We start from the raw sequence: 22,026 nt of genomic DNA on the forward strand, positions 1-22,026 counted from the left end.
AGAGCCTACTGTAATTTTTTCTTCTGAAATAGTATGAAATAACTTTTTTCCTGAAAGAAAATCTCCTTTCTATGGTTCTTTCTTCTGAAACAAGGCTTTCCTTCTCTGAGCTTCCAGCTAGAATAATTTCCTCTGACATACTCTGATCTAGGAGGATTGTAGTGTGGTCACAATGCCTCAGCTGATTTCAGTTAATTTTCTTGAGCTGAATCAAATGAATGTCTTAACAAGTTGTCCTTTAAAAGGATAGACGTGCTTTTATACAAAACTTGCATTTAAATGAAACCACTAGACTTCTTCATACAATGTAATGAAGTCTTGGTATTCCAGCGATTTGGCACCTAAATGCATAGGCACTCAGTAAATATTGGAGGGAAGGAGGATGGTGGAAAGAAAGAAAGGGGGAGCAGGGAAAATTAGGGGGGAAATTATTTTTTCTTCCTGGGGATAGGTTTCATTTTTAATTGGGAAATGTAATGTGAAATGTATTACTTTCAAACTTGAGGACCCAGAATATAACTTATGATGATTTAAGTTTTCTTCCTTTTATTTACATTTTAATGATAAAGACACTCATTGGCCAAGACCCAGAAAAAAAGTTTAAATAAAAATTTACATTTTAATGATAAAGACACTCATTGGCCAAGACCCAGAAAAAATAGTTTACCTATATTTTATACGTGTTTGTTTAAAAAAAAAAAACACAATCTTTGAAAAATCTGGAGAATTTATTTCGGGTTATAATAGTCAGAAAATGTGTGCCTTTAAGTTTTGCTTCTGAATAGACATATTCTGCTAAGCAAGCAATCTCCTCTTAGACTGCTTGCTGAGCACATATACTTTCCGTATGCTGATTTTTAAAGTGTCTGTATTTGGTTGGTGGCTTTAGTAATAAGAGACTAGCTTTTAACACAGCCAGAAGAAGCTGATGTGAACCAGCAGAAATAACACTGATCATATATAATACTTATGGAACAGTGGTTGCCCACCATTTTTGAACCCAAGATTTCCTGACATTTATCACTGTGCCAACAAAAAGAAAAACTAGGAACCTGGGGAGGACTTAGAGAGAGGAAGCATGGACAGCTGCCAGCCTGGGCAGATGGCGTCTGTTTGGTTGAGACAGATTCACCAGGAAACAAGATCAGATCCTAGTTTGAGACCCAAAACCTGGTGAGTAAGAACAAGTGTTCAGGACTTCAAGGGGCCCAGTAGGCAATTGTGGGAAAAAATCTGGAGGTCCTGAACTTGCCCAAATTACAGGGGTAGGTGAGAAAAGGTAATCCAAGGGGTAATATTTTTTTCTGCTTTTTGGTGTTATCTATATTTTCTTTAACAATTATATATATTACTTAAAGGAAAAAACTCTAGGTCTTATATATTCCTGACTAAGCTTCATCAATATGTATTTGCTTCTTTTATACAAAGTAACATTGTTTTCATTTACAGATTGCCATTAGGATACCTTAGTAATGATGTCCAGTTATGATGCAGATATTTCAAAGTTTATTGTTTATTTATTTATTATTATTTTGGAGGCAGGGTCTTACTGTGTTGCCCAGGCTTGGGTACAGTGGTGTGATCTTGGCTCACTGCAGCCTCGACCTTCCAGGCTCAAGCAGTCCTCCCATCTCAGCCTCCCAAGTAGCTGGAACTACAGGTGTGCACCACCATGCCTGTCTAATTTTTATATTTTTTGTAGAGATGGGGTCTCGCCATGTTGCCCAGGCTGGTCTTGAACACCTGGGCTCAAGAGATCTGCCCGCCTCAGCCTCCCCAAATGCTGGGATTATAGGCGTGAGCCACCGCACCAGGCCCAAAGTTAAAATAACTTAATGAATAAGGTTTGGATGATGTCAGGTACCCCTTTTTTCTCAGGGGAACTGGCTCCTACTTAGATATCTTATGACCATTAGTGGGACATTATAGGATAGCCTAGAAACAGAAACACTCACGTCAGTGTGATTTATGGCTAAGCTGGCACTCGACATCAGTGGGATAGGAGGGGGTAATACATTAAATGGTGCATGGGAAATTGATTATTCGTTCAGAAAATAATTGAAATGGATCTGTACTTCATTTCATACACAAAAATCAATTTCAGGGAGATTAAGGGACTTAAGTTATAAAAGGCAAAACTTTGAAACTTTTGGAAATAGTATAGGAGAATAGCTTTATGACCTTGGAGGAGGGAAGGATTTACAAATAGTGTTAGCTATAAGGCAAAGGTTTGGTCATTGAGCCATCTTAAAATCAAGGAAATTACTTCATCAAAAGACATCGCTAAAAGAGTGGGAGAGAAAAACCACACACTGGGAGAAAATATGTGCCATACATATGTGTGGCAGGCACACCTGACAGCAACAACCGAAGCATACCCTGAGAATGACCCTATGGTCTAAGAAGAATGTGTGTTTGGAGTTCTCAGCTGAGGAACCTGGTAGTGGCCAACCCGGAGACTGATTCCTTGTCTATGAGGAACATCTGAACCCCCGGCCCATTTCGGATTAAAGGAGGGTTGCCAGGTGAAGGTTGCAGGAGGGGAGCTAAGTAAAAATGCTATATAAACTGCATACTTTTTAGAAACGGTAGTGGTTCGTCCATCCAGCCTGCTACCACTGGACCGCTGCATATGTAAGTCCCCTCGAGAAGCCCTATATCTCATTTGCCAGCTCTCGGTCTCTTCTTTGGCCTCTCTTCTTTGGCCTCTCGAACCTGTGCTATCCCTATCCAACTCAATAGGGGTCTGGCACAATAACATGTAACTAACAATTAGGAAACAGAAACCTGTCTTTTAGAATGTGGGACTTCTCTTCATCAAAAGCACTGTAAAATGAGTTAAGAAACAACCCATAAATACTTGAGGAAGATACTTGCCATACATGTAACTGACAAATTAATAAAGGAAAAAGGTACTCTGGAGAAAAATGAACAAAAGCCTTGAATAGAAACTACACAGAAGTGGAAATGTGAGGTTGGGCGTGGTGGCTCACACCTGTAATCCCAACATTTTGGGAGGCCTAGACAGGTGGATTGCTTGAGCCCAGGAGTTTGAGGCCAGCCTGGGCAACATGGTGAAACCCCATCTCTACAAAAAAATGCATAAATTAACTGGGTGTGGTGGCAGACATCTGTGGTCCCAGCTACTTGGGAGGCTGAGGTGGGAAGATTGCCTGAGCCTGGGAGGTGGAGGTTGCAATGAGCTGTGATCATGCCATTGCACTCTAACCTGGGCAACAGAGGAGACCCTGTCAAAAAAAAAAAAAAATGAAAATGTGAATGGTCAATAAAAATGTGAAACTACTTAACTTCATTAGTAATCAGGGAAATGCAAATGAGAAGCACCAGGTGATACTGTTTCACACTCTCCGGGGCGGCCAAAATTTTTAAGTCTTAACAAACAACCCTAACAATGTAGAGTCACAAACAGGAATCCTTAGACACTGCTGGTGGCAGTTGAATTAGTACAGCCACTTTGGAGAACTCTGCAGCCTTGTCAGGAAGAGTTGAAGCTGTGTGTAATCCACAACACTGCCCACACTCCACAGCAATGCTTCTCAAGCCTGGCATAATATATTAGCATCCCAAAATGAGCATGTTGGAAATACTTACACCTGGCCCTTACCCCAGACCTGTGATTCTCAAATGGTATGCCAAGATGCCCTGGGGAACCACAGCAAACTCACAGAAGACGATGGGATATCTTAAATGTTCAAGGGGAATGCAGTGATACTTGGCATCTGTTGAACGCAGTGTGAATTACTAGCTCAAGACACTTCAGTTCAGTCTCAATGTTACCCCACGCATCATCCCTTTCTATTATGCGAAGCTGGATTTTCAGTGGTTGCTGTAACAAAAAGCAGATATCATGAAAATCAGTATGGAAGAGGAAATAAGGGTGATAGAGTCCAATATGATTCCAAAGTTTAAGAAGTTGTATAGTGCCCAACGAGTGCACACATTCCATTAATAAGTAATTGAGGTTATTTAAGAATGAAATAAAACTTTTTTCTTTGGTATTTTCATACAGATTTTTCAAACAGCTACTGCATTGTTAGGACAAAAAAGACTTGTTAACTTTTTTGGACCTAACTACTTAAATGGAATTGTTAGGAATTTGTTCTAGGGGTGCCTAGAACCCTGAAAAAATTGAGCCACTTAGTAGTGTCCCTTCAACTGAGAATATTTGGGAATCTCTTTCCCAAATTAGTTAACTCAGAATGGAGATGGAATCTCTATGTCTTTGTTTTTAAAAAGCTCCCCAAGTGATTCTAATGGGTTCGTAAGGTTGAGAACCACTGCTTGAGAGACTCTTGCACATGTGACTTAGGATAATGCTACTCAAATTGTACCTGGGGGCCAGCGCTGGTTTGCAAATTATTTCCTACAGATCTGCAGCAAGTTTATATGAATCATACTTTCAGTGAATAATGGTACAGTTTTTGTAATCTTTTGTCTTCTGATTAAATTTACTGAAATATAATTTTATGTCAAATTTTATAATGGAAAAATTGAGGCTTGTACTTTGTGCTTTTTTCTCATATTTTTCTAATATTTATGATTTTACAGCTTTGTTGATGTATAAGTGATCAATTTGCACTCTTTAAATATGTGCAATATATTATATGTCAATTTTGACATATGTATATACTTGCGAAATCATCAACACAACCAAGATAATGAACATATCCATGACTCTCTAAAGTATTTTCTCATCCCTGTGTAATCTCTCCCATTTGGCCCTCCACATCCCTTCATAATCCTCCACTCCTGTCCCCGCCCCAGTGCAACCACTCATCTGCCTGTTGTCACTATAGATTAGTTTGCATTCTCTAGCATTTCATGTAAATGGAATGTTACTGAATGTACTCTTGCTTTTGTCTGGCTTCTTTTACTTAGCATAATGTTTTGCAATTCAGCCATGTTGTTGGATATGTCAGTAGTTTACTCCTTTTTATTGCCGATTAGTATTCCATTGTATGGATATGCCACAACTTGGTTTTTTATTCACCAATTGATGGATATTTGAAATGTTTGCATTTTGGCTGCTATGAACATTTGTGTGTAAATCTTTATGTGATCACGTGCTTTCATTTGTCTTGGATAAATAAATACCTAGGAGTGGAATGGTTGGATTGCATGGTAGGAATATGCATATAGTAATTTATTTTTATTGCATTTCACAAATAAAAAGCATTAGCCCACAAGGATTAGAAATAAAACTCTCCCAGGCCGGGAGCAGGGGCTCATGCCTGTAATCCCAGCACTTTGGGAGGCTAAGGTGGGCTGATCACCTGATGTCAGGAGTTCAAGGCCAGCCTGGCCAACAAGGTGAAACCTCATATCCACTAAAAATACAAAAATTAGCTGGGTGTGGTGGTGCATGCCTGTAATCCCAGCTACTCAGGAGGCTGAGGTAGGAGAATCACTTGAACCTGGGAGATGGAGGTTGCAGTGAGCCGAGATCACGCCACTGCACTCCAGCCTGGGAGACAGAGCAAGACTCCTTCTCAAAAAAAAGAAAGAAGGAAAGAAAACTCTTCCTTCAGCAAATGTATTTTGAAAAGTACTAGCCTAAGTTAAATGCCCAACAGTGTTCACAGCTACATTGTTTATAATAGCAAAAGACTGGAAACAATCCAATCATCCATTGTCAAGAGAATGGATTATTAATATGAAGTATATATCCAGTAGACTACTTTATAACAATGAAAACTACATTGATGTAGCTGCAGTTTATCTACTACATTAATGTAGCTGCAGCTACATTAATCAGAATGAATAAACGGAATTTAAAGTTGAGTTCCAAAAGCAAATTGCAAAAGAGTGCATATGGAAGGATTTCATCATATGAATTTTACAAACAGTATTTTACTACAATATTAAATAGCATTTTATTTACAGAAACATACATATATGGTAAACTATAAAGAAAATGGTGATACAAAATGCAGGATAGTGTTTACTTGGGGAGTGGCCGAAGGTACAATGAGAGAGATAGGACCAAGGAGGACAGACAGAGGCCTTTGAGGCTAGTGGGTCTTGGTCCCGTTCTTAAACTATAGGAATTCATTTTAATGTTACATTTTGTGTTTATATTTTGTCATAAATTTTTTGTGCATATTCAATATGTAACCACAAAATACAAAAAAACTCTCAACAGTTGACAAGGGAGTTTATTAAGCAAATAGAGGTACCAATTACAAACCATCAGGGTTAGAAAAAAAATCCAGGCTTTAAGTAAATATAAATCTAAGTAATAGGCTATTGACTATTATCTTAGAAAAACTTGGGGTATTACACCAGGTTATCACAGAATATTTAGTTGAGAAGTATGGAAAATATGATATGCTATTTATTTGAATGATACTCGGTAGGCATGTAATGTGATGATTAAATCAGTTAAGAATATGTGATAGATTTTTTTTAAAAAAACATCTCATTTAAAATGCATGTCTTTTGTTTTTATGATTATTGAAAAATGGTTTTCAGAATACAAAATGAGAATCAAAAATTGGTAATTAGATATTCTGTGTTTCTCAAATGGACGGACTTTATAATTGGGTGGAGTTATGTTAAAAGCTAGAAAAACTGAAGAAGTTAAGAAAGAATTGAAAATTCCCATTAAGAGAAAAAAGAAAAAGCTGCAACCTTTGCTAATATAAACCGTAAGAGCCTATGCCTCTTGAAATTTCTCTGTGTTTGTCTTTGTACATTTTTAATGACTTAATGAGAAAAAAGATTCATCAGGACTCCTTTCCTAGCAGGAGGTTTAGTGTTTCACAAATGAGTAGGGAGCTGCTCTCATAATGAGGTAAACGGCCACCTGATTCTTGGATAAGTCCAAGGAAAACCTTTACACCAGAGGAAGCAACAGCTTGCCAGTGTTCAATCTGAGACTTTCCAAGGTCAGAAGAGAGGAGGATTGGTATTGATATTTAATAAGCATTTACTGTGTCCAAGGCATTTTGGTACGAATTTTATATCTCTTATCTGATATCCTTGCCTTTTAGGACTAGGCTGTTTTTACCTTTAAGGTAGATGTTATTATTCTCATTTTACACATGAGGTAACTGAAACATAGAACTTAAAAACCTTGCCAAACATTTCAGAGGAGGCAGATTTAAACCCAGATGCATTTGCATTAAACCCCAATGGATTTGATTCCAAAGCACGTCGTCTTTCTGCTAATAATAGCCAACAGTCATTGAGTACTTACTATATTTATACCAAGGTCTGTTCCAAGTGATACATAGATTTTCTCTTTTAAGCCTCGTGGCAGTATGAGAAAGAAGCTATTATTATCCCCATTTTACAGATGAAAAAATGGAGTCACAGAATGTTATGTAATTTGCCCAATGTCACACAGTAAGTGGCAGAGTTGGTCCACCTCAGGAGCCCACACTCTTAACCTCTTTTGGCCTTTTATGAGTACATCTGCCCTTTCAAGGATCAGGCTTGAGTCTGTCAGGGAGGCCTCATGTCTCCTATTAACTTTTGAGCCATACGCATCATGGAAACTGGTTTCTCCTGGCTGGGTACTTCTGAGTTGCCTGGCCTCCTGTGAGCTCTTCTTTTCTAATTGAATCTACTCTCTAAGACTCTTTGCTGCTGGAATATGCAGCAGTAGTTTGAGAGACACTTCTCAGTCAGTTCTAACATGTTTAGCTAGGTTCTTCCTATTTTTTGTGCTTCATCAGATCATTTGGGCTCAGTGTTTTCTTTCTTTTTATTTTTTTCTTTTTTTTTGAGACAGTATCTCACGTTGTTGCCCAGGCTGCAGTGCAGTGGTGCAATCTCAGCTCACTGCAACCCTGCCTCCTGGGTTCAAGCGATTCTCCTGCGATTCTCCTGCCTCAGCCTTCAGAGTAGCTGGGATTACAAGCACCTGCCATCACAGCCGGCTAATTTTTGTATTTTTAATAGAGATGGGGTTTCACTATGTTGGTCAGGTGGACCTTAGGTGATCCACCTGCCTCAGCCTCCCAAACTGCTGGGATTACAGACGTGAGCCACCGCGCCCAGTCTGGGCTCAGTGTTTTTCAGTGGAATAAGGATGAATCATTAGAAGAGCTTTCATACCTCTTAAACTCTCAAATTCCATGCCTTAATAAGGATTTTTATTAATACTTCATTTAAAACAAACAGTAATTAAGCATCATTTTAACCATTTGATGTGATTATAACTCATATGCTTTCTACTCCAAAAATATTTGAAGTAGAAGAAACCAATACAATGGGATAAACACAAAAAAATGCAGAACAATGTAGAGAAAACAGAGATAATTATACAAAACCTTAAGGTATTTTCGTTATTGCTGTTGAGCATTTAATGCTGAATTTCCTGGCAGCTGAGGCAACAGAAAGGTAATTGGTCAGATAATTTTTGTTATATGTTCAAATAAAGTAAACTAGTTCATTGGGGAGGATAGGGTACCATGTCAGGCCACTAGCCAACCCTTTTCTTCCTACAAGTTAAATTATATCTGAATATCCTCTGGAGCACTCAGATCTTAAAATACTTTAGAAGAGACTGTAAAGAACTGCCAGTGATTGTCTTTAAAGAGGCGTCATGGCAGTGCTGTAATTCTTGCTTAGCAACACTTATATCTAAGCTTTCTTCTCTGAGGGAAAGGCCAGGTTCTAGGTCACTCCCTCACTTTGTTCCAGTCTCTGCCCAAAGGTCACCTCTTCCCTGACTGCCCTTTCTATATGAGGTTCCCACCGAACGCATCTGGGTTGCCCTCTATCCCTGTCCAACATAGTAGTCACTAGCCATATATGACAATTAAAATTAATTAAATGACAAAATAAAAAATTCAGTACTTTGGTCATACCAGCCACATTTCAAAAGCTCAGTAGCCATGTGTGGCAACTGGGCATATTGGCAACACAGATACGTCATCGCAGAAAGTTCCACTGGGCACTGCTAGCCTATGCTCTTGCCTTAACTTTTTCAACACTATGCCATGCCATGCACCTATTGATTTGTTTATGTTCCACTAGAATACATGCTCTGGATCACAGAGTTTTTTTTTTTTGTTTTCCCAGAACATAGCTGAATCCTCAGTGCCTAAAGCAGTGCCTGACATAGTACAGTGCTTTGTAAATACTTGCCGAGTGAATGAACAACAAATGAATGAATGAATTTTAGTATTATTTTGCAGTTTCAAATCAAAAGTATTTTGTCTAATGTCCCTGGGTGACCTAGTACACGTTCTGCCACAGTTTTTGAGATGAAAGAACGAAAATTCTGTGATCAAAGAGAACATTTTAAAGATAAAATGATATTAAATATACTAGTCAAAATTTTATTTCTTTTATCTTTTATATTATGAAGAATAATGGGTACGAAATTTCTGTTTATCAATTAACGTATCATCCTGAATATGAACACAGAAAATATCAATTTTCTTTGCATTAAGAAGTCATGTAAGTAGAAGGAGAAAACAAAGTACTTATTACATAGCTAACTGGACTTACAGTCACATCTAATTTAAAGCAAATTTGCTCCATGCAATGGAATATACTAAAAGTAATATTGTGCAATTATAGCTACAGACATGATAGGAAATCATAATACATTCTAAAAGTATATAGAAAAATGTCAGTTTACTTCAACTTATTTTAAACAAAAATTACCCATGAAATGATTGCAGTACCTAAAAAGAATTTGCAATCTGAACAAAATATAACTAGAAGCACGACTACCCTATATCTCCTATAAATACAGATTGAAGCTAGTTTTGTGATTTCAGCCAAAGATGCAGCTTCAGTAACCTTGAAAAACATTGTTTCCTTTCTATTGGGCCTGGCTTTGTCAGGAGATACTCAGGAGGTGATGGTGAAAGGAGGTACCTGGTGGAGCCAGACGAGTCGGGTAAATCAGCTTTAACAAGCAGCCAGATGATAGATGTCAGTTGGGTGTCATGCCCAATTCTAGTTGCTGACAATTAGGAATTAGATTAAAATAGGAGTGTTTTCTCCTTCACCCTCCCTTTCTTAAAAGCAGCCATTTTCTGAGTAGTGTTAGTTCTTAGTTCTCAGTGGATTTGCAAATGCAGATCATGAGGCACCTCTAGCTTGGGCAGGATTGGTGTTATTTTGCTATTTCAAGTAAAAAACATGATGGTTAGTGTCCTTGGATAACCTCATATACTTTCATTGTTTTTCAAATCAGGTCCAGTGAAGGGCCAAGTTCTTCATAAATATCATGGCTAATTTTGGAAACCCATATGTTCAGTTAAGGTTTCTGAAACTGGAATAAATATGAATGGAGGATTTATCAACATTTGGATATTTGCAATTTCAATTCTTGATTCTTTTTTGAAAATCTATTCTGGGTCTACATCTGAAATGTTTATCTCCTTTGGTGCTAGATCCAGAGTACAATTTTTGAAAACTTTAAATCAAGGGTGGAACAATAAATTCACTTGCTCTTAAGACTTTAGGGGTTGTTTTAGCTGCCAAGAGAGCATTGCCTGTGTGCTGCGAAAAATACGAGAGCCACAGAATGGCCAAATTATTGCTTTTACTCAGGCAGAGTGAAGAAAATGGCCCTGTGACAGACATTTCCAGTTTCCTGTACATAGAAATGGGGAAACAGTTGTGAAAAAAAAAAAAAAGCCAGCTGGGGTTCTTGACACACAGTTCATGCTAATTTTAAATTGTACTAATACTTGACTATATAGTGAGGGATCCTTTGCAGGATGATGATCTGTTGAAGACTCAGCAGGCCACTGTGGGGAGAGGGAGAGAGGCTGTCAGAACCTTCCCCTCCAGAGGCCTTTTAATGGATACTGAATTCAGAATTGACCTCACAGAATCTGATCATTACTGATGCAAGAGCAAAGTCAACATCATCTGCAAAGATAATTTCTCATCTATTCATGAGTACCTGTGCTTATCACCACATCTGGAAATCTGACTACTCAAATAAGAATTTCTGTCGAGAGACTGAACAAGCCAGGCACCAGGAATATTTTACTCTGTATGTACAGATGGACATCGATACTGGAATATTTCTGTCTCACTGATGCTTAGGGACCATCTTTTGATTTTGATCCGTGTCAAGATTCTAAGGCAGTTTAACTAAGACATGGGTTTTCAGTGTTTTTTTGTTTTTGTTTTTGTTTTAATTTCTGTTTCTGTGAGTGTAATTTAGGGAGGAGTACCAGCTTGTTTTTTATAAGTTGTTTCTTACAATGATTAACACATAATCTTTTCTGCCTTAAGGTTTATAACAAATGTGAAACTAAGTTTCACAGGTTAATTCCAGCCTAATCTTTTCATAGATGATAGCGTAGCCCAGAAGCAATATGCTGTGACATTTTATTTTATTTTATTTTTGAGACAGAGTCTTGCTTTGTTGCCCAGGCTGGAGTGCAGTGGCATGATCTCGGCTCACTGCAACCTCCATCTCCCAGATTCAAGTGATTCTCCTGCCTCAGCCACCCAAGTAGCTGGGATTACAGGCATGCACAAGCACGCCCAGCTAATCTTTGTATTTTAACAGAGACGGGGTTTTGCCACGTTGGCCAGACTGGTTTCGAACGCCTGACCTCAAGTGATCCACCACCTCAGCCTCCCAAAGTGCTGGGATTACAGGCGTGAGCCACCGTGTCCAGCCTACCGTGACATTTTAAATTTCAAAATGTAATAAAATCACAAGTTATGCCAGAAAGCCACCGTACTTCTCATTGAATATAGTATCTCCTTGGTGTTCATGTCCTTATGTTCTTATATAACTCTGTGTGCCAGTGTTTCACCAAATCTATCAACTCTTTTAAGGCAGAGACTACATTTATTTATTTTTTAACTTTTTGTTTGAAATAACAAAACTTTCTGATAACTTCAGACTTAGAAAAAAGTTGCCCCAAAATACTACACTGATTTTCATGTACCCTTGATACAGCTTCCCCAGATGTTACCATCTTACATAATCATAGTACAGTGAAGGAAACAGAAATTGACGTTGATACAATAGCATCACTAACTAACCTAAATAACTTATTTCAGTTTGCCGATTGTCCTACTAGTGTCCTTTTTAAAGTCCAGGATCCAATCTAGAATCCCATACAACACTTACTTGTCACGTCTTGTTAGTCTCATCTAGTCCGGAGGAGTCTTTCTATAATTTTCACGACTTAATACTTTTGAAGAGTCCCGACCAGTGATTTTGTACAATGTCCCCAGTTTGGGTTTGTCTGATGTTTTCTTAGGATAAGAATTAGCTTATGCATTTTTGACAACAATACCACTGAAGTGATGTTGTGCCCTTCCCAATGTTTTTTGTTGTTGTTGTTTTTGTTTTTGTTTTGGAGAAGGGGTCTCCATCTGTTGCCCTGCCTGGAGTGCAGTGGCACAATCTCAGCTCACTGCAACCTCCGTCTCTCGGGTTCAAGTGATTCTCCTGCCTCAGCCTCCCGTGTAGCTGGGACCACAGGCACACACCACCACGCCTGGCTAATTTTTGTATTTTTAGTACAGACAGGGTTTTGCCATGTTGGCCAGGCTGGTCTTGAACTCCTGACCTCAGATGATCTGTCTCCCACCTCTGTCTCCCAAAAAGCTGGGATTACAGATGTGAGCCACCGCACCCGGCCCCCAGTGTATTATATGAGAGGGTACATGATGTCAGTATGTCTCATTGCTGTTGATCTAAGTTTTGGTCACTTAGATAATGTGGTGTCTACCAGGTTTCTCCACTGCAAAGTTACTGTTCTTCCCATTAGAATTAATAAGTACTTTGTGGGGAGATGCTTTAAGACTCTGCAAACATCCTGTTTCTCATCATACTTTTGCCCATTAATTTTAGATACTATTGATGATTCTTACCTGTAACAGTTATTAGTGTTTGCTAAATGCTGATATATTTTATTTCCATCATTCCTTCTATATTATTGTAATTCTACTGTAAGGAAGAGCTGTTCTTTCTTCTGCTATTTATTGATTTATTATGTTAATGTGGATATATAATTAGTTACTATAATTTTTTTCTCAAAATATCTCAGATTTGGCCATTGGAAGCCCCTTCAGACAGGCTCCTGTCTCCTTTTGACATATCCTCATTATCTTTTAAATGCATGTTGTAACTCTGGCATCACAAGATGTGTCTGGCTTATTTTGCTCCAGCCCTAGAATCAGTAACTTCTCCAAAGACCCTAGTTCTTTTTACTGTAGACTGGTATTTAGAAACAAAATCTGGGTGCTGGATATGCTCATTGCTACTGGTATATCATTGCTTCTAGGCCCTCTCAGCTTACAGTGCTAGGAAATAATGTGTCTGTATATCCAGACACATGTTTCTCTCTCCCTCTCTCTCCATATCTATATGCCTATGACTATCTACCTATTAAAAACAATAAGTTTATCTACTTATTAATACTTCCACTTACAATTCAATACCACTAGTTTCCTTTTAGATATCTCTTTCCTTACTCGTGGCTTTTTCTCCAACAGTTAGAAACCTGGCATTCATTATCTACAATATATTTACTTATTTGCTCAACCCTAGTATATATGTAAAGAAGTTTCAGAACTGTGATTTCCATAATCTCTATGAGAAACAAGTTTACCAACAAGACTATATAGCATCCAGGTGCAGTCCTTTTTGTCTTTAGTCTTAAGGTATATAATAAAAGTACTGGTTTCCAAAATTAGGTTAGATATTTTCTTTCTTACCTCTTTCATGGTGGCTGTTGTTTTTTACTTGTAATACAGCTAGGTTCTTTTGTTACTGTTCGTGTTCCATTTTGGGTTCCCCCAACACCGAGAGGTTGGTTTTAATTATTCTTTATTAGGGGGATGTGAAACATGATTATTGTTCTCAGAGTCAGAACTCTGTGAAAAGGGGCCGGTCGTGGTGGCTCATGCCTGTAATCCCAGCACTCTGGGAGGCCAAGGTGGTTGAATCACTTGAGGTCAGGAGTTTGAGACCAGCCTGGCCAACAAGGTGAAACCCCTTCTCTACTAAAAGGACAAAAATTAGCTGGGCATGGTGATGGGCGTCTGTAATCCCAGCTACATGGGAGGCTGAAGTAGGAGAATTGCTTGAACCCAGGAGGCAGAGGTTGCAGTGAGCCGAGATCATACCACTGCATTCTATCCTGGGTGGCAAGCTAGACTCCATCTCAAAAAGAAAAAAGAACCATGTGAAAAGGCATTTCAGAAAAGTGTCATTCCACCTCATCCCTTCTGTCACGTTTCAGTCTCCCATTCTTCCCATCTACCCCGTAAGTGACCAGTTTAGTTTCTACTTTTTTCTTCTGTATTTCTTTTTGCACAAATAAACAGGCACATATATGTTTTCTTATACAGAGATGATATTCAGTGTCTTTTTTTGTGTGGTACTGGGCAATTTAAATGCTGTTTGGTAATTTTAACTCTTAAGGATACTGTTTATAATTGATCTGTCCTTAATGCCAATGTATTAGAAAGCACACTAAATGATTGTTTTCTTTTTTGTAAAATATTTGTGAGATTTTTTAAAAAATGAAGGTGACATGAATTTTGATGGGCTTATTAACACTGAACTATTTCTTGATAAGAGTTGTCTAAAAAAATGAGAACATATGCCAGGCGCGGTGGCTTATGCCTGTAATCCCAGAACTTTGGGAGGCTGAGACGGGCGGATCACAAGGTCAGGGGATCGAAACCATCCTGGCTAACAAGGTGAAACCCCGTCTCTACTAAAAATACAAAAAAAAAAATTAGCCGGGCGTGTTGGTGGGCACCTGTAGTCCCAGCTACTCGGGAGGCTGAGGCAGGAGAATGGCGTGAACCCGGGAGGCGGAGCTTGCAGTGATCCGAGATTGCACCACTGCCCTCCAGCCTGGGCGACAGAGCGAGACTCCGTCTCAAAAAAAAAAAAAAAAAAAAAAGGAGAACATAAAGCAAGTAACAATGTTTTTCAAGTTTTCTTTAATGCATTACATCTTTTTTTCACAAGATATTTTAAAATTTTATTTTTCCTTATTAAGCGAATTGAATTATTTCAAGCATCAGTGAGAGCTGCTAGACTGTTATATTTCGGGGGTCTTGCAGGGTAGCTTTTCTTACACATATAAGCAGAAGAAAACATTTTCCCAAGTCTTAAAAGAGGGTTATGATGCATTTCATTGTGTACTCTTTTTCTTCCCATATACTCTGCAGGCATTTGGGCAGTCCTTCTCCATCCACCGGAAGGTTGCTGAAGATGGAGAGACTCGGGAGGAAACGCTTCTGCAGGAGTCAGCATCGAAGGAGGCTTACTATCTGGGGAAGATCTTGGAGATGCAGAACGAGCTGAAACAGAGCCGGGCTGTGGTCACTAATGTACAGGCAGAAAACGAGAGGCTCACCGCAGTCGTGCAGGATCTGAAGGAGGTAAATAAACAAATTCCCTATGAGAGATTTGTGAGAGGGAGAAATAAGAAAGTTCTCTCCATAGCAGAGAGGAATAACACTTTTGTTTTAATCAGAGGAGCTGTATTAAGCACGAAACTACTAATACTGAGCTAGCAACTTTTCTTTTTTAGTGAAATGATAGCTAGCTTGTTCTGAGATGAGCTTTTCTCTCTTTTATTGTTTCTTGAAAATTAAGTTTTGTATGTATTGCGGACTTCGGAATTGGCCTTACTATTTCTGCAAAGGTATTTTAAAAATACAGTGACCTTAGCACTTCCTCCCTGCATTAGCTGGTTTAATACAATGTGGAGAAGAACGGTTGGCTGTAATGCTCTGTATCTGCCTGATTTCCAGCTGACAGTGGTGTTGGCTCAGGACACTGCTCATAGGGAATGACAGCCTAGGCGAGTGTCCTGAGAAGTCTTTGAGTCTGGTGATGCAGATCCCCAAAGGATTTTTCTGGTTATAGAGAAGGCAGCAAATTATGGCTGGTATGAATTAGGTCAGGGAGTCTCTCTTGCTCTGTGAGTGTTGAGCATCCACCAAACTCAGTATTCCTTGTTAGCTTTTCCAAGGCAGCATCACCTGCCATATCATTTTCAAACTGGCAGAGTCATCCTTTAGTGGAGGGGTGATGTTGGAAACAGAGATAGCCAAAAGTAGCTTCATCCATCAAACCCCTGTAAGAACATTTTTGGAAGCTATATTCAATCATTCACTCCGTATTTTGATATGAAAGCTATAGAAGAGACGCAGACGTCCTCTAACTCCTACACCAATGCAGTGATCATTGACAGGTCCACAACCAAGTGGGCTCACTAGTTGAGCATTTTAGTGATAGAAATATGTAGGATGAAAATATTCTTCAATATTGTAAAGTATAAGACAAGCAATCCACATTTGAAATAAGTGACATATTACAAATAGGGCTTCACTATTATAAGATATAAGTTGTCCAGAATTTATTGGAATTTTCTAGATAATTTACGTTTACACATGTCCATATTACAATGAACTAAATGAATACTGACAGCAAGGTCACTTATGAGATAAGGTTTACTTATCTCGTTATCTTTGGATATGCCCAAATATAGCAATATGACTTGTGAAGACAGAGAAAGGATCTAATGAAGTGGAAGTTAGTGTTGAGTACTAAGAAGAAGATGAGACAGTTTTCAGGATACCAGGACCTCCTCATTTCCCTCCAACGTGAACAACTGTTAAAAACAGAGCTACTCTCTGGTTCCTTCTTTCTGAGACAGGGTGTCACTCTATTGCCCAATCTGGAGTGCAGTGGCACAATCCAGCATCCATTGCAGAAGTGGACAGAGGGTCATGTGGAGCCAAAGCCCACCATTCTGGATTAAGGAAGTCACCAAACATTTGCAGGGAGCAACCTCAGCAGCCGTGAGCAGCAGGGTCATGTGCAAGTTGGCAGAGAGGATGTGGCATGGGCAACGTGAGGACCGTGTGCACACGCATGCAGGTGGTTTATGGAGAAGAATGTGACCAATGAGTCGAGTATTCTTGATGGCCAGTTGGATGGATCCTCTGAAAGCTGCAATCCCCATTGTGTGTAGCAGCTGCAGCTGAGCCAAGAACAGCCAAGGTTGAGGATGGGGCAGGGAATCCACAGATGCTTTTCTGTGTGAGTCAACGTGGTGATGATTAATGGAGCATCCTCACTTACACAGCCACGCTTGAAGGCAGTTCCAATGAGTAGATTTATGATGCATGGCAGAAGTTAATTAATTAAGCATGAAGTTACAAGTTAGGAATGAATGGAGGCAGCAAAAGAAAAAAAATTTGAGGGGCCTTTCATTCAGATCAGTTCTCAAACTTGAAGGAGCATCTGAATCACCTGGAGAACTCATCAGACCATGAACACGGGGCCCCCTCGCAGAGATTCTGATTCAGTAGATCGAGGTAGGACCCAATAATTTGCATTTCTAACAAGTTCCCAGGTGATGTGGGGGCTGCTGCTCTGGAAACCACATATTAAGAACCACTAATTTAGATTTTTTGGCCTGCCCAAAGCTGAGGAAGGCTCACAATTGGGACATTGCTATAAGCACCATGATCTCCTGAATAAATCAATTGGTTGTGATTCTTCAATTTTTATGCATTTTACATAGTAGATTTGCAGTAAGAGAATAACTTGTTATATCCACATTTAGGTATTTTTGATCTAAAACAGCTTGAGGCACTTTAGCCTATGAATGTGTTTATTCAGATTTGTCAGGTAACTAAAAGAAAAAAAAGATCTTGTGTTTCTTTGTCTTCTATGTGTGCCAATAATGTATTTGTTAATGTTCTTTCTGATGAGTGAGAGCTGGTGATATTACTATAACCCTGAGTTTTTGTTTTTGTTTTTAATCCAGCAGATACATTTTATTTTGCTGTACCTAAGAGAATTATTATTAACATTTAGAGCTAACATAAAAGGAGAATAGGAATAAATTCTATTTTTTGGTGTATTGATACACACTTTTAATGGTTGGTATTAAGTTGAAATCTCAGATTTGATTTCCTTTTAGGCTCAGTTTTATTTTTTGTACTATAAGCATTAACTGATGTACAGTGATTGGAAGAGAGATCATGTAACTTAGAACAGTTATGACATGATGGACCATGAGAAATATACAAGGATAACCAACCCAAAATATAGTAAATGATCAGTTTGACAGATGCTGTGTCTCTAAGAACTTAATTAATGGGATAATTTTTCTTTACTGAAAGGACTCATTTCCTGTTTTAGTAGGATTGTTGGTCCTGGCAAAGGTGTGTGTGCGTGCATATATGTTGGGTGCATCGTGAAAGATTTACCCATGTGTGTGTGATTACAATGTCAAATTCTCTTCCATAAATAGTAGTTACAGGATAGTATGGTGGAAAATGGAAAAATTGCTGAATTAGGTATTAGAAAATCAATATTCTAGTCAGCTCTGCTGAAAGTTTTAGTATTAAATTCATGATATTTGTAAAATTTATGTTAAGATTATATTGATATAGAGTACATACATAAACATAAGCAATTATCATTAATAATGTTCTGCATACTCCAAAAATATCATTGACGATATGACTCATTATGTAGATCTATATTCTTAGGGTAAAGAAACATGAGATAAATATCTCTGAATTTATCACCTCAAAAATTCTTTCTCTTGTGATATGAATCAGGCAGTAGAATTACACATTTTTATTTCTGCCTTGACTGTTAAGAAGCTCTGCGGCTATGCTTAAGTATAAAAAAACTAACCTAGATTTTTTTCATCTAATTCTCACTTTTAAACGTTTTGATTAGCCTTATTGTATATATGTTTTTAATGGTAAACTGCTTTAAATAATTTTATATACTATACTACAAGGCTACAGTAACCAAAACAGCATGGTACTGGTACCAAAACAGAGATATAGATCAATGGAACAGAACAGAGCCCTTAGAAATAATGCCACATATCTACAACTATCTGATCTTTGACAAACCTGAGAAAAACAAGCAATGGGTAAAGGATTCCCTATTTAATAAATGGTGCTGGGAAAACTGGCTAGCCATATGTAGAAAGCTGAAACTGGATCCCTTCCTTACACCTTATACAAAAACTAATTCAAGATGGATTAAAGACTTAAACGTTAGACCTAAAACCATAAAAACCCTAGAAGAAAACCTAGCCATTACCATTCAGGACATAGGCATGGGCAAGGACTTCATGTATAAAACACCAAAAGCAATGGCAACAAAAGACAAAATTGACAAATGGGATCTAATTAAACTAAAGAGCTTCTGCACAGCAAAAGAAACTACCATCAGAGTGAACAGGCAATCTACAAAATGGGAGAAAATTTTCGCAACCTACTCATCTGACAAAGGGCTGATATCCAGAATCTGCAATGAACTCAAACAAATTTACAAGAAAAAAACCAACAACCCCGTCAAAAAGTGGGCGAAGGACATGAACAGACACTTCTCAGAAGAAGACATTTATGCAGCCAAAAAACACATGAAAAAATGCTCACCATCACTGGCCATCAGAGAAATGCAAATCAAAACCACAATGAGATACCATCTCACACCAATTAGAATGGCAATCATTAAAAAGTCAGGAAACAACAGGTGCTGGAGAGGATGTGGAGAAATAGGAACACTTTTACACTGTTGGTGGGACTGTAAACTAGTTCAACCCTTGTGGAAGTCAGTGTGGCGATTCCTCAGGGATCTAGAACTAGAAATACCATTTGACCCAGCCATCCCATTACTGGGTATATACCCAAAGGATTATAAATCATGCTGCTATAAAGACACATGCACACGTATGTTTATTGCGGCATTACTCACAATAGCAAAGACTTGGAACCAACCCAAATGTCCAACAATGATAGACTGGATTAAGAAAATGTGGCACATATACACCATGGAATACTATGCAGCCATAAAAAATGATGAGTTCATGTCCTTTGTAGGGACATGGATGAAATTGGAAATCATCATTCTCCGTAAACTATTGCAAGAACAAAAAACCAAACACCGCATATTCTCACTCATAGGTGGGAATTGAACAATGAGAACACATGGACACAGGAAGGGGAACATCACACTCTGGGGACTGTTGTGGGGTGGGGGGAGGGGGAGGGATATCTTTAGGAGATACACCTAATGCTAAATGACGAGTTAATGGGTGCAGCACACCAGCATGGCACATGTATACATATGTAACTAACCTGCACATTGTGCACATGTGCCCTAAAACTTTAAGTATAATAATAATAAAATTAAAAATTAAAAAATTTAAAAAAAAATGTAAAATGCTTCCAACAGTGCCTGACATGTGGCAAAACAAATTAATAAACGTTATCTGTATCACAAAAAATAAAAAAATAAATAAATAAATAAATAAAAATAAATAAAAATAATTTTATAGGCCGGGCATGGTGGCTCATGCCTGTAATCCCAGCCCTTTGGGAGGCCGAGGCGGCTGGATCACAAGGTCGTGAGTTCAAGATCAGCCTGGCCAAGATGGTGAAATCCCGTCTCTACTAAAAATACAAAAAATTTAGCTGGGTGTGGTGGTGGGTGCCTGTCCCTAGATGCTTGGGAGTTTGAGGCAGAGAATTGCTTGAACCCGGGAGGCAGAGGTTGCAGTGAGCCAAGATTGCGCCACTGTACTCCAGCCTGGCGACAGAGCGAGACTCTGTCTCAAAAAATAATAATGATAATAATAATAATTTTATAAAATACAGGGAGTATAAACAAAAACTGATCACCCAAATTGGAGAACCAAATTAATAGTTAATCTTAACCTAATTAGGAGTTAATCCTACAGGGCCAATAATAGGCAGAGTGAAGAAATCTCTGAGTTCTCTTGACCCAGCATTATTTTTGGTAAGAGCATAAAGAAAGCAGATTGCTATAGGATTTAAATAGATATTTAGTAAACAAGTTTGAATTTCATTTTTTCTATCTTCAACCTGTAGGTATAATATACTAGAAGATAGCCTAAAATTTGGGTAATATTTACTTTTATACTTATTTATACTAAACTAAACTAAAATCCACATTAATGAAATCATAAAATAGGATAATGAAACTTAATACTACTTAATTCTCCCAATTACTAGCTAATGTCTCAAATATAAGATATGTTAGAATTAACTGCAATATTTACAAAGTATACAAAGCAATTATGCAGCATTCCTAACCAGAATTGGTATATATGGGATAAAAAGATGTCACATAAGATAGGCCCCTTCAGGTGGAATGCAGAAGATTGGAGTTATCAAATGAATTATCGACCTTAGTAGAGATTAAGCCTATAATTTAAAGTGAAAATAACAACATTTATTGAGTGCCAGACACTGTTCTAAATACCTTACGTGCCTTAACTGCTGAATCTTTCTAACAACCCTACTGAGGCAGTTCCTATTATATTATACCCCTATTTTACTGATGGGGCACGTGGATCAAAGAGAGGTCAGATCATTTGTCCAGAGCACATGGGTACCAAGTGACAGGCCATGATCTGAACTCAGGAACACTGGCTCTGATGTGCCATTCTTTGCCATGTCACCGTAGCTGCCAAGAGCATAGGTTTCCCTCTTCCGAACCCTGCCTCAAGCAATGAAATTTCTAGAAAAGTATATGAAGTTTTAATACGATAGCTGCTATGGTCTGAATGTGCCCCTTTTAAATTCATGCACTGAAACTTAATCATCAATGTGATAATATTAAGAAGTCGGGCCCTTAGGAGGTGAATGAGATTAGCGAGTTTATATGAGGGCTGGAGGGAGCTAGCTAGGCCTTTTGGCCCTTTTGTCCTTTCCAGCGTATGAGGACAAGGCATTCATCCTCTCCGGAGGACACAGCAACAAGGTGCCATCTTGGACGCAGAGAGCAGCTCTCACCAGACACTGAACCTGCCAGCACCTTAATCTTAGATCTTCAGCCTCCAGAACTGTGATCAATAAATTTGTGTGTTTTTATAAATTCTAATGCAAGGTTTCTTCTATAAGGTTATTTTGTCTATGTTGAAAATCTATGTTTTAGTTTAGTTTACCTTTATCAATGATCTTAGCTAGATCTGCTGGATCACTTGCTGCATTCAGTTAAAGACATCAGCACTTGCTACTTCACCTTGCACT

The 22,026-nt window shown here is 38.4% G+C and overlaps 1 protein-coding gene across 34 annotated transcripts in view; it reads left to right on the top strand.

Moving 5' to 3' along the window:
* The window catches only part of BICD1 (BICD cargo adaptor 1), a 276,787-nt gene that overhangs the window by 94,247 nt on the left and 160,514 nt on the right, over window positions 1–22,026 (top strand). For 31 of the 34 annotated variants that reach the window (NR_148725.2, NM_001413168.1, NM_001354186.2 and 28 more), the window contains exon 2: window positions 15,154–15,366. Coding sequence is in view for 33 of the 34 variants with exons in the window: in NM_001413168.1 (NP_001400097.1) it covers window positions 15,154–15,366 (213 nt within the window). In the remaining variant the exon portion in view is untranslated. Of the gene's footprint in view, window positions 1–15,153; window positions 15,367–16,481; window positions 21,878–22,026 lie in introns of those variants that run through there. The other 3 variants (NM_001413179.1, NM_001413176.1, NM_001413174.1) reach the window with 3 other exon arrangements.

This window comes from Homo sapiens, chromosome 12 (genome assembly GCF_000001405.40).
Source record: "Homo sapiens chromosome 12, GRCh38.p14 Primary Assembly".
Lineage (NCBI taxonomy): Eukaryota > Metazoa > Chordata > Mammalia > Primates > Hominidae > Homo > Homo sapiens.